The sequence below is a fragment of the Homo sapiens genome, chromosome 11 (genome assembly GCF_000001405.40).
Source record: "Homo sapiens chromosome 11, GRCh38.p14 Primary Assembly".
NCBI classification, from domain to species: Eukaryota; Metazoa; Chordata; class Mammalia; order Primates; family Hominidae; genus Homo; species Homo sapiens.
The window spans coordinates 66480285-66492299 of NC_000011.10; the positions used below are offsets into that span (position 1 = coordinate 66480285).

General features: G+C 53.0%; 1 protein-coding gene across 3 annotated transcripts in view, besides 3 other annotated features; it reads left to right on the forward strand.

Moving 5' to 3' along the window:
- Positions 120-289: an enhancer, noted in NCBI's record as "active region_5045". NCBI's record gives its function as "activates an Ori minimal core promoter by ATAC-STARR-seq in GM12878 lymphoblastoid cells {active_cell/tissue: GM12878}" and the evidence as "EXISTENCE:reporter gene assay evidence [ECO:0000049][PMID:35858748]".
- DPP3 (dipeptidyl peptidase 3) overlaps positions 150-12015 on the forward strand; it is a 29224-nt gene continuing 17358 nt past the window's right edge. The window contains exons 1-9 of one of the 3 annotated variants that reach the window (NM_130443.4): positions 150-181; positions 1909-2186; positions 4889-4978; positions 6256-6393; positions 6984-7058; positions 7630-7723; positions 10969-11099; positions 11210-11340; positions 11414-11472. In NM_130443.4, the coding sequence (NP_569710.2) occupies positions 1917-2186; positions 4889-4978; positions 6256-6393; positions 6984-7058; positions 7630-7723; positions 10969-11099; positions 11210-11340; positions 11414-11472 (988 nt within the window). In that variant the 5' untranslated portion in view covers positions 150-181; positions 1909-1916. The remainder of the gene's footprint in view (positions 182-1908; positions 2187-4888; positions 4979-6255; positions 6394-6983; positions 7059-7629; positions 7724-10968; positions 11100-11209; positions 11341-11413; positions 11473-12015) is intronic. The other 2 variants (NM_005700.5, NM_001256670.2) reach the window with 2 other exon arrangements.
- Positions 4472-4833: an enhancer, noted in NCBI's record as "Amplicon_11_11:66008803-66009164 (NCBI36/hg18 genome assembly) insert fragment". NCBI's record gives its function as "drives selective reporter gene expression in differentiated C2C12 myotubes {active_cell/tissue: C2C12}" and the evidence as "EXISTENCE:reporter gene assay evidence [ECO:0000049][PMID:22144875]".
- Positions 10635-11585: an enhancer, noted in NCBI's record as "H3K27ac-H3K4me1 hESC enhancer chr11:66258390-66259340 (GRCh37/hg19 assembly coordinates)". NCBI's record gives its function as "activates a minimal SCP1, AML or CMV promoter by ChIP-STARR-seq in naive H9 embryonic stem cells {active_cell/tissue: H9 hESC(naive)}" and the evidence as "EXISTENCE:reporter gene assay evidence [ECO:0000049][PMID:30033119]".

Genomic DNA, 12015 nt, shown 5'->3' on the forward strand with positions numbered 1-12015 from the left:
CGCCTGGGGGCGGGAGCGGGCGAGCCGAGAAGCTCGTCTTGGCGCGTCTATTGGCTGGTACTGACGCCCATCCGGACCCCGAGGCCAGGCAGTTGGCCAAGGGGGGCGGGGTTCGCAGAGCCCCAATGAATGGGGGAGCCGGAAGCAGGAAGTGAGTTTGCGAACGGAGCAGCTGCTGCAGGTGAGGCGCGGCGCCTGGGCTTTTGGGGTCAAAGCGTGTCATCCCGGGGGACCAAGGCGAATCCATACTGAGCGCAAAATCGTTCCCTTTCTGCCCACTCTCCAGTACCCCCTCCAAATTCACCCCGCCCTCGAGGCCAAGGAGTGCTCCGGGGAGCAAAGAGTTAACAGCCCTTTCCGAACCTCGAGGCTGTGCTATTGGGGCGGGGCTTCTGGAGGCCGGGGCAGGGCGAGGAGGCTGGACACTCTGTCCCAGCCGGGACGGGGCGTGGCGGGGAGAATGCCCCGGGTTGGGGAATCCCCGGGTTCCAACGGGGCTGTCAGACCTTCAGTAAATTGTTGCCCTTTCCAAGCCTCAGTTTCCCTATCTGTAAAATGGGCTTTCTTCTGGTTGTGAACTTCTGTGGCTTCCCTGGTGGAGCACAGGGAGCGAGCAGGAGAATGGAGGGCCAAGGAAAAGGCATTTAGAGGGATGAGAATGGGACAGTTTCAAGCAAAATCATTTATTGCTGTGGATACTTTCCGTCCAGGGCGACTTCATCTGATTAGCGCACCCACCTGGTAATATTGGGGTTATTCTCTCTTTTATAGAGGAGGAAACGGAGGTACAGAAAAGTGAAGCAATGGACTTGACTTTTAGGAGTCTGGGGCCGAGTCCTGGCTAAAGGCTGAGCCTTCCAGCTGGCGGCCTGGCACTTTATCCTTGTGAGCACAGTGGAAAGTGTAAAGAATTCTGAACAAAGGCCAGGCGCGGTGGCTCACGCCTGTAATCCCAGCACTTTGGGAGGCCAAGGCAAGCAGATCGCTTGAGGCCAGGAGTTCGAGACCAGCCTGGACAAAATAGCGAGACCCCGTCTCTATCAAAAATACAAAAAATTAGCTGGGCATGGTGATGCACGCCTGTAGTCCCAACTACTTTGGAGGCTGAGGCAGGAGAATCGCTTGAACCCGGGAGGCGGAGGTTGCAGTGAGTCAAGATCATGCCACTGCACTCCAGCCTGGGCAACTAAGTGAGACTCCGTCTTAAAAAAATAATACTGAACAAGGAAGCAGGGAGGGGCCTGGGCTGGGAGCCTAGAGATGAGGATCTCTGCTGCTGATGTCTCCATTGTGGGATTAGGCAAGGCTCTTAGCCTCTCTGAACCTCAGTTTCCCCATCTGTAATACTAGGTAGTTAGAGTCAATCAATTTTTTTTTTTTTGAGGTGGAGTCTCACTCTGTTGCCCAGGCTGGAGTGCAATGGTGCGGTCTCAGCTCACTGCAGCCTCCACCTCCTGGGTTCAAGTGATTCTCCTGCCTCAGCCTTCCCAGTAGCTGAGATTACAGGTGCCTGGCACCAAGCCTGGCTAATTTTTGTATTTTTAGTAGAAAGGAGGTTTCACCATGTTGGTCAGGCTGGTCTTGAACTCTTGACCTCAGGTGATCCACACACCTCGGCCTCCCAAAGTGCTGGGATTACAGGTGTGAGCCACCATGCCTGACCTTAGAGTCAATCTTTAAGGTTTAGGGACTACAGACCAAATATGGTCCACCAGTGTATTTTGTGACCCCTTGGGTGAGTCATCTCACCTTCTCTAAGCCTCAGTTAGCATATCTGGTGAATGGGTACAATAGTATTCCCTTCCACATGGGCTTTTGGGAGGATTAAATGAGATCATAAGAGTTCAGAGCCAGGTATGCAATTGGTATGGGGTAAACAACAGCTGTGATGACAGTGATGGTTCTCAGCAGGGCCCATGGCGGACACCCAGTACATCCTGCCCAATGACATCGGCGTGTCTAGCCTGGACTGCCGTGAGGCCTTCCGCCTGCTGTCACCCACAGAGCGCCTCTATGCCTACCACCTGTCCCGTGCCGCCTGGTACGGAGGCCTGGCTGTGCTGCTTCAGACCTCCCCTGAGGCCCCCTACATCTATGCTCTGCTCAGCCGCCTCTTCCGCGCCCAGGACCCCGACCAGCTGCGCCAACATGCCCTGGCTGAAGGCCTTACCGAGGAGGAGTATCAGGTCAGTTCTCTTGGGCCAACCCACATTACCTGAGTGGCTTCTGGGTGTGAAAGACCAGGATGCAAATGTCTGTCTCTTTCAAGGGGTAGGTGGAGGATTAGACCAAAGGTTACAAATTCAGGCACTTCCCCTCTCTGGAGCCTCAGTCTTCTCACCCGTAAAATATGCATGTGGGATGTCTGTACCTCTTAGTGTTGTGATGACCCACTTAGAACAGTGCCTGACTTCAAGATAAATGATGGCTGCTGTGATTATAACAAAAGAAACTGTGGTGGAGATTCAGGGAAGGCAGAAGAAGGAGTCCAGAGTAGGTATCAGGAGGTCTGAGTTCAGGACCAGTTCTTCTCTACCACACTGTGTGGCCCTGGGCAGAATGTTCTGCCTGTCCCTTGGTTTTTGTTTTTGGATGTATTGGCCAAGTAATACACAAATTCTTAGTGCATTGCAGCAATGCAGAAAGACACAAAAGAAAACACAAAGATCACTCATTCTCAGTGCCCTCCTCAGAGGTAACCCACTGAGGCTGATACAGCCTTTTCTTTCTCTCTCTTTTTTATTTTTTATTTTTTTTTTGTGACAGAGTCTCATTCTGTCACCCAGGCTGGAGTGCAGTGGCGTAATGTTGGCCCACTGCAAACCTCCACCTCCCAGGTTCAAGCACTTCTCATGCCTCAGCCTCCCAAGTAGCTGGAACTACAGGTATGTGCCACCACACCGGGCTAATTTTTGTATTTTTAGTACAGGTGGGTTTTCACCATGTTGCCCAGTCTGGTCTTGAACTCCTGGCCTCAAGTGATCCACTTGCCTTAGCCTCCCAAAGTGCTGGGATTACAGGCGTGAACCATCGTGCCCAGCCTTGGTTACAGCCTTTTCAATCCCATCTGTGTATTACATACATTTATGTGTATATGCATGGTGAATCAGTTCCTTATTTTCTTTTTTATAGAAATGAGATAATGTTCTTTTCCTGCTTTGTGTCCTGCTTTTTCCATTGAATGCCATGTCTTGAAGAACTTGGAGAATGGGGTACATTTAAATGTACCTCATTCTTTTTTATTGACTGTAAAGCATTCCACAGCAGTGTACACTATAATCAATTTAATCTTCATTACTGGACATTTAGCTTGTCCCGTTTTTCTTACAAACAGTGCCATGGTGAGCATACTTGTGCACACATGTGAGGAGGATCTATTTCTAGAAGAACTGCTGGGTCAAAGGCTCTGTACATTTACAATTGACTGATTCTGTTAAATCATCTTCTAAAAAAGCTTCACTGCATTATATTCCCACCAAGAATGTACAAGAATATGGCCTGTTTTTCTATATGTGAAATAAAGGGATTGGATTGTTTCTCTCTGAGCTGATGTACTGTTTATTCTACCTCTTTTGAACTTTGGGCATTCACTTCCCATCTTGAGGCCTTGGCTTACTCATTAAAAGAGCTAATATCCGTGGAAATGTTTATAAACAGAAAGGTGCAACCCAAGCGTTATTATTTTCAGGGAAATTCTTTTTTTTTTTTGTGGGGGACGGAGTCTCGCTCTGTCACCAGGCCGGAGTGCAGTGGCACAATCTCAGCTCACTGCAACCTCCAACTCCCTGGTTCAAGCGATTCTCCTGCCTCAGCCTCCTGAGTAGCTGGTATTACAGGCATGCACCACCACGCCCAGCTAATTTCTGTATTTTTAGTAGAGATGGGGTTTCACCATGTTGGCCAGGATGGTCTCAATCTCCTGACCTCGTGATCTGCCCGCCTCGGCCTCCCAGAGTGCTTGGGATTACAGGTGTGAGCCACCACGCCTGGCCATTTAGGGGAATTCATATGTTTGCAAGTGGCAGAAACCCAGCTCAAATTGGCTTACATGAAAAGGAGAATTGTTGGGTCACATGCTTGAAAAGTCCAGGTCTAGAGGAAGTTTCAGGCATGGCTGGACTCGGACTCAGTGCTACCACTGGGATGCAGTCTTCGTCTCTCAGCTTGCTTGCTTTTCTTACTCCTGGAGGGGAGCTCCAGGAGTTCCAGGCCTGATGATCCCTGGTGTACAGAGGCTCTTTGCCAATGGGAAATGTCCTGGGTAGCTCTCTTATGCCAGCTTGAGCCTTGTGTCCATCCTGTAGCCAAGGATGGTGGTTTCTCAGACTGACTGAGCCAGGTTACATGCCCACCCCTGGAGCTGGGGGAAGGGAGATCCCCCACCCCACCCTCCCACCCACAAAAGGAGGATTGAGGTCTTGTTACCAGAGGAAGATCTGGGGCCAGCAGAAGCCATAGAATAGACAGATGATTAAGGCCTCTCCGGCTCTAACATGTGATGCTTCCAAGGCCAGCTGCCTGACAGGTCAGAGGCTGAGGACAGGCTCTGGAGAAAGAGGGAGGTGCTGCTGGAACTGGGCCTTAAAGGACACAGTAGCTTCAGGTGGCTGAGAGGGTGCTGGGGTGGGGAGGGAAAAGGCAGACGAATGCTTGGGTGTGTTTGGGAACTGCCCAGAAGATCAGTTAGGCCAGACAACGGGGGTGTGAAAATGGGTCTGTGGAAGTGAGTGTGGGCCAGACTGGGGCTTCCCAGGACCTAGGTCCTGCCCACACATTTCCCAGCCTCACCCACACTGGCTCTGCTGGGGCATTCGCATCTCAGGAGGAGGTGTCGCTGGGGTCAGGGAGGCTGTGCTTCCTGGGTCTCTGATGCCTGCCTCCCCCTCAGGCGTTCCTGGTCTATGCCGCGGGTGTTTACTCCAACATGGGCAACTACAAGTCCTTTGGTGACACCAAGTTTGTTCCCAACTTGCCCAAGGTGAGCCAAGGGAGGGTTGGGGAAGGTGGGGATGGGGGGCTGGTGGGGTAGAGATGGAAAATGCAGTAGAAGGAGCCCCAACTGGAGTGTCAGAAGCCCTGAGCAGAGCATGGACCCTGTCGCTTCCACCCTGCATGACTGTGGGTGTCACCAGCCTCACTGGGTGCTGCGGCCTCTTCGTGTATAAAGGAAAAGCACCACTCGCCCTGACTGCTGATCCGCAGGCTGAACAAGGGCGAGATGTGGAAGTGTTCTGTGAACTTTTAGGTGCTCTCAAAAATGGAGCTTGTTGGTCATCACCAGGAACAGTGGGAAGTGCTGGGCCGGGGGCATCCCTCCCAGGGTTATGAGACTTGAGCCTATCTCGGGCAGAGGTGGTTCTTATAGCAGGTATAAGAGCCGGGACTTCAATATGCACACAAGTCACCTGGCAGTCATGCTGACATGCAGCATCTGATTCAGCAGGTCTGTGGTGGACCCAAGATTTGACATTTTTTCTTTGAGACAGGGTCTTGCTCTGTCACCCAAGCTGAAGTGTAGTGGTGTGATCATGACTCACTTCAGCATCAACCTCCTGGACTCAAGTGATCCTCCTGGCTTAGCCTCCCAAGTAGTTGGGAATATGGGTATGCAGCACCACACCAGCTAAATTTTCTTTTCTTTTCTTTTCTTTTCTTTTCTTTTCTTTTCTTTTTTTGAGATAGGGTCTCACTCTGTCACTCAGGCTGGAGGGTAGTGGCACGGACACAGCTCACTGCAACCTCAACTTCCTAGGCTCAGGTGATCCTCCTCAGCTTCCAGAGTAGCTGGTACCACAGATGCCTGTCACCATGACACCTGGCTAATTTTTAAAAATTTTTTGTAGAGACAGAATCCCACTGTGTTACCCAAGCTGGTCTTGAACTCCTGGGCTCAAGCAATCCTCATGCTTTGGCCTCCCCAAATGCTAGGATTACAGGCATGAGCCACTGCGTCTGGCCTAATTTTTTTTATTCTTTGTAGAGATGGGGTCTCTCTGTGTTGCCCAGGCTTGTCTTGAACTCCTGGCCTCAAGCATCTCTCCCTCCTCTGCCTCCCAAAGTGCTGGGATTATAGGTGTGAGCCACCACACATGGACGCTTGACATTTCTCAGGACCTACAAGTGCTGCTGGTCCATGGACCACACAATGAGCCAGAGCTCTTAGATCATAGGAGAAGAGCTTGGGAGTGGGTAGGGAGGCTCTGGAAGGCAGGTTTGGGTGGTGTGACTGGGCCATTGGCCTCCCTTTCCTTGCAGGAAAAGCTGGAACGGGTGATCCTAGGGAGTGAGGCTGCTCAGCAGCACCCAGAAGAAGTCAGGGGCCTCTGGCAGACCTGCGGGGAGCTTATGTTCTCTCTGGAGCCAAGGCTTCGACACCTCGGACTGGGGAAGGAGGTGAGGCCCCTGACTCCCCCGAGGGGACAGGGAGTGGAGGGAATCCTTCAAGGCCACCTGGTAAGGAGGGAAGGACACGGGATGGGGAGGCAGTGGGCTCTGCCTCACACTCCTGAGGCAATGCTGCTCCCCACTGCAGGCCTCAGTTTTGTCATCTGTAGAATGGTAAGCATGTTGGGTCGAATGCTTTCTGAATGCCCTCCCAGATCTGACATTCTGTACACAGGATGCCATGTGCTGATGGAGGGAAGGAGAGGAAGGCTGGAGGTGGAGGGAGCTGAGGAGGGGATGGCAGGGAAGGAGGGGGGTCCCAGGTTTCCCACCTCTGGAGGCCACATCCGTTGCATGGGATGAGGACCTTGGCAAGCCTTAGGGGTGGGCCAGCCAGAGAGAGGCCTGGGCAGAGCTGCAGCAACACTGGAGATGAGCATGTTTGTTTGTTTTATAACTTTTTCCCCTGGAGGTAGATGGAGGGGTAAGGGGTAGAGGCTGCTGAAAGGAGGGAGGGGCGGGAAGCCTGGGAATATGACGTCCCTGCAGCCCTGACCTTGGCAACTCCTCTTTCTCATGTCCCCTGTCTTCCCCAACAGGGAATCACCACCTATTTCTCTGGGAATTGTACCATGGAAGATGCCAAATTGGCCCAGGACTTTCTGGACTCACAGGTTTGGGGTTAGGGGAGCTCAAGGTAGCAGAGGTTTGGTGGGGTTCCTAGTCCCAGCCCCCTCACAACTGGTGACCACTCCTGGGTCTCTGCTTGACTACTCCCTGTGTACTAGGGAAGGCGCGACCCCTGCCCACCCCAGGCTATAGAGCCTAATGACAGCCTCAGGGCAGGGCGAGGAACCAGGACCTCAGGCCACAGGGGTGTGAGGCTCCGGGGTCCATGTGTCAGTGGTGCTCCCAGCTCAGCCACTCACCAGCCATGTGATCAGTTTCCATGTCTGTGAAGTGGTACCCACCTCCAGTAGCCCTGGGTTCGCAGAGGCCGTGCAGTGCCTGGCACAGTGGTTGCAGTCAGTGCTTAGTAGAAGTGCACAGTGTCCTGAGCAGAGCAGGAGAGTCGGCCCTGGGCTGCCCACTCCCACTCTCTCCCACTCCTGCTCCCAGCCAACCCAGAAGGCCCAGCCTGCTTTGCCTCCATGCCTTCTCCCCTAGGGTTGACCCATTTTCCTTCCTCCCACCCCACTGCCCTCTCCAGACTTCACTCTTAACCCCTGTCCTGGTCTCTTCTAGAACCTCAGTGCCTACAACACCCGGCTCTTCAAAGAGGTCGATGGAGAAGGGAAGCCCTACTACGAGGTGCGGCTGGCTTCTGTGCTTGGCTCAGGTGAGCTTAGCCCCAGGCTTCCCTTCTGCTCCCTCCTGGGCATTTCCGGACCTGGGTGGCTCAGGTCCTACCAACTCTGCCACTCCTTCAGAAAGAGCATCCTTCTCTCCCAGGATTTTCTACATAAGTCCTGGGAATGGCTCTAGTTTCTCTAAATCAGTCCCCTATTTGTCTGTGAACCAATCCCTGAGGGCTGGCAAGGGACAGGTCTCTGATTGGCTCAACCTGGTCTCAAGCCTACCCTGGAGTCAGGCGATGAGGTTGGCCCTTCAGGCCGGGCATGGCAGCTCACACCTGTAATCCCAGCACTTTGGGAGGCAAAGGTGGGCGAATCACCTAAGGTCAGGAGTTCGAGACCAGCCTGGCCAACATGGTGAAACCCCATCTCTACTAAAAATACAGAAATTAGCCGGGCGTGGTGGCGTGTGCCTGTAATTCCAGCTACTTGGGAGACTGAGGCAGGAGAATCGCTTAAACCTGGAAGGGAGAGGTTGCAGTGAGCCGAGATCTTACCACTGCACTCCAACCTGGGTGACAGAGCGAAGCTCCAGATCAAGGAAAAAAAAAAAAAAAAAAAGAGGCTGGCCCTTCCCAAACCACCTGCACTTGGGGTAGTAGTAGTGGGGCCTGGGGTGGTATTCTCAAGGGGAAATTGGGGTCCATTCCCAGGAGAGAGGAAATAGTATGGACAGAAGTGTCCAGGCCTTTATGAAGACCTTTGCCACCTGGCTCTTTGTTCCCCACTCGCACCCCAGCCCCTGCTTCATCTCCACATCCTCCCACTCAGACTCTGTGCTCTGGCCATGCTCAACAGCATCCAGTTCTGATGGACCCTCTCTAGGTCTTTTTGTTTTTGTTTTTTGAGACAGAGTCTTGCTGTATCGCCCAGGCTGGAGTGCCCAGGCTAGAGTGCAGTGGTGCGACCTTGGTTCACCGCAACCTCTGCCTCCCGGGTTCAAGCAATTCTCCTGCCTCAGCCTCCCCAGTAGCTGGGATTGCAGGTGCCCATCACCATACCTGGCTAATTTTTGTATTTTTAGTAGAGATGAGATTTCGCCATTTGGCCAGGCTGGTCCTGAACTCCTGACCTCAGGTGATCCGCGTGCCTCTCGGCCTCCCAGTGTGCTGGATTATAGGCGTGAGCCACCGCGCCTGGCCCCTGTCCAGGTCTTTGCACAATCCATTCCCTGCTTCTCATGCGGAACCCCCTCCAGCCTCTCCTTGTCCCCTGGCCACCTCCTCCCCATCCTCTAGGCCATGCATGGACTTGCCTTCCCCAGGACCTTTCCCTATCTTCCCATAACTGAGTCTGTGCCCTTCTTTCTTCCCATCGGCACATTCAGTAGCTTCCCTGACTACAAGCTCCCCGAGAGGAGGGCCTGTGTGTTTCATCCACTGTTGTCTCCCTGGTGCCTAGCGCTTGGTGGATCCGAGCATCCACTGGGGAGATGATGGCAGATGTGGGTTCAGAGGAACAGGAGTGGATCTCACTGGAACATAAGCTGGGCCTATACTTAGAGTACAAGATGCAGTTTCGGGCAGTGGTTGAATGTGGCCCTGGAGCCGGACTGCCCGAGTGGGTCATAATCTATTGCTGTGGAACAAATGCTCCGCAAATTTAGTGATACAAAACCACCTTTTCATGCTCATGGACTCTGGGTCAGGAATGCAGGTGGAGCACAGTAGGAACAGCCGGTCGCTGGGTGACCATGTCTGGGGCCTCAGCTGGGAAGACGACAGCTTGGGGCCGCAAGCATCCCCAGGCTTGTTGACTCACACGCAGGTGCTGGCTGCCGGCTGGAACCCAGCTGGGCTGTTGACTAAAATACCTCATGTGGCACCCTCCTATTGTTCGTGGTAGCTGGGCTCCAAGAGTGAGCATCCCAGGAGAGCCAGGCAGAAGCCTGCTCACCTTGTGTGACCTGGCCTAAGCACATGGTGTCCCTGCTGCTGAAGTCACAGCCTTCCTGGCTTCAGGAGGAGGGAACACAGATCCCACATCTCCATGGGCAAAGTCACAGTTGAGCTGGATATGATGGCTCACACCTGTAATCCCAGCTACTCAGGAGGCTGAGCCAGGAGGATCGCTTGAGCCCAGGAGTCTGAGATCAACTGGGCAACCTTACAAGATCCTATCTAAAAAAAAAAAAAAAAAAAAAAAAAAAAGGCAGTAAGACAGGAAATACTGTGGCTATTTTTGCTTGTTTGTTTGTTTTTACATAGCCTTGAAGTATATTTTATTGATCAGAGACAACAAGGAAAATACAGTAGTGTGTAAGCATCCCATTGCTTCTGTAACAAATTACCACAAATTTACTGGCACAAAACAACACAAACTTATTCTATTACAGTTGTGGAGGTCCAGAGTCTAAAAGCAAGGCTGGGCCGCATTCCTTCTGGAGTCTCAGGAAGAACCTGCTTCCTTGCCTTTTCCAGCTTCTGGAAGGCTGTCCAGCCCCCCAACTTCACTCCAGCTCCCCTCTGCTATCGTCACAGCTCCTCCTCCCAGTCACCCTCTTGTCTCCCCATGGGACTGTCGATTACATTTGGGATGTGGCTGTCTTTTTAAATCCAGTCTGCCACTTGCTATCCACTTAAGCTCTCGGTGCCTTAGTTTCCCATCGGTGAAATGGAAATGATAATGTCCGCCTCCTCCCAGAGTTGGAGTCAGGCTTAAAGGAGTTAACACACGGAAAGCACATGTTATGTGATACATATATTTTTGTTTTTTAGTTTTGGGGTTTTGTTTTGTTTTTTTTGTTTTGTTTTTTTTTTTTTTGAGATGGAGTCTCTTCTCTGTTGCCCAGGCTGGAGTGCAGCAGCACGATCTCAGCTCACTGCAACCACTGTCTCCCGGGTTCAAGCGATTCTCTTGCCTCAGCCTCCCGAGTAGCTGGCATGACAGGCACCTACCACCATGCCCAGCTAATTTTGTATTTTGAGTAGAGACAGGGTTTCACCATGTTGGCCAGACTGGTCACGAACTTCAGACCTCAGGCGATCTGCCCGTCTCAGCCTCCCAAAGTGCTGGGATTACAGGCGTAAGCCACCATGCCCGGCTGATATATATTTTTTTGAAGTTGAGAGTTTATGCTCATGTCTGTTGGCTACAGGGAGCCATTGAAAATCTTAGAGTGAAAGAGTGCTATGGGGAAAAGCCGGCTGAGGTGTCTTACTCAGGCCTTTTCTCTGAGTGAGGCCTCTTACTCCAGCCTTTTCTCTTGAATGACACCTTCTTTCCCCAGAGCCTTCCCTGGACTCTGAGGTGACTTCCAAGCTGAAGAGCTATGAATTCCGGGGAAGCCCTTTCCAGGTGACCCGGGGGGACTACGCGCCCATCCTCCAGAAGGTGGTGGAGCAGCTGGAGAAAGCCAAGGTTGGACTGGCTGGGGGCTGAGGGGTGCGGGCTGAGGACCCCTCTGGGCAGCAGAGCGGGTGTGGAGGTGGGTGGGTGGCCCGAGGCTGACCGACCCCCGCTCACCTCAGGCCTATGCAGCCAACAGCCACCAGGGGCAGATGCTGGCCCAGTATATAGAGAGCTTCACCCAGGGCTCCATCGAGGCCCACAAGAGGGGCTCCCGCTTCTGGATCCAGGACAAAGGCCCCATCGTGGAGAGGTGAGGCGCCAGCTCCACCCCACCTGCCCCCTCCTGCCTGCCCCTCCTCCACCTCTGCCCTTCTCTCCCCCAGTTACATCGGGTTCATCGAGAGCTACCGCGACCCCTTTGGTTCCCGAGGAGAATTTGAAGGTAACTTCCTCAGGGAGGAGGTCAGTCACAGTCCCTTCCCCCACATCCAAGTCCACGTTTCCAGTGTCCCCTGATGGTTCTCCCCACCCCCGCTCAGCCATAACCATAACAGTAAGAACAGCCATGGTAAATAAACACCGTTTACAATGTATTGGGCACTGTTGTAAGAAGCTTAGCTATATTAACTAATTTAGAGTCCATCATCCCATGAGGATATTTATCTTCACTTTGCAGATGTGAGCACTGGGGCACAGTTGGGGGGTGGCCCAGGAACCCTGGCTCTGAGCTATTTTGCTGTGCTGCCTCTGGTGTCTGGTCAGGGCACAGGCTCCAGGTAGCCATGTGCCTCCCAAGCCCAGCTTTACCACTCCTAGGCTGTGTGATCTTGGGCCAAATAGCCAGACCTCTGAGCACCAATGTGATTAGGATGCAGACTGCTGCACTCAGTGGCTGGAAGCAGGATGGACATTGTGACTGTGGACCTGACCCGGGGCTGTCATCCCAGGCTGGTGGCAGGCTGCCGCGGCCCCCACCCCCTTCCCC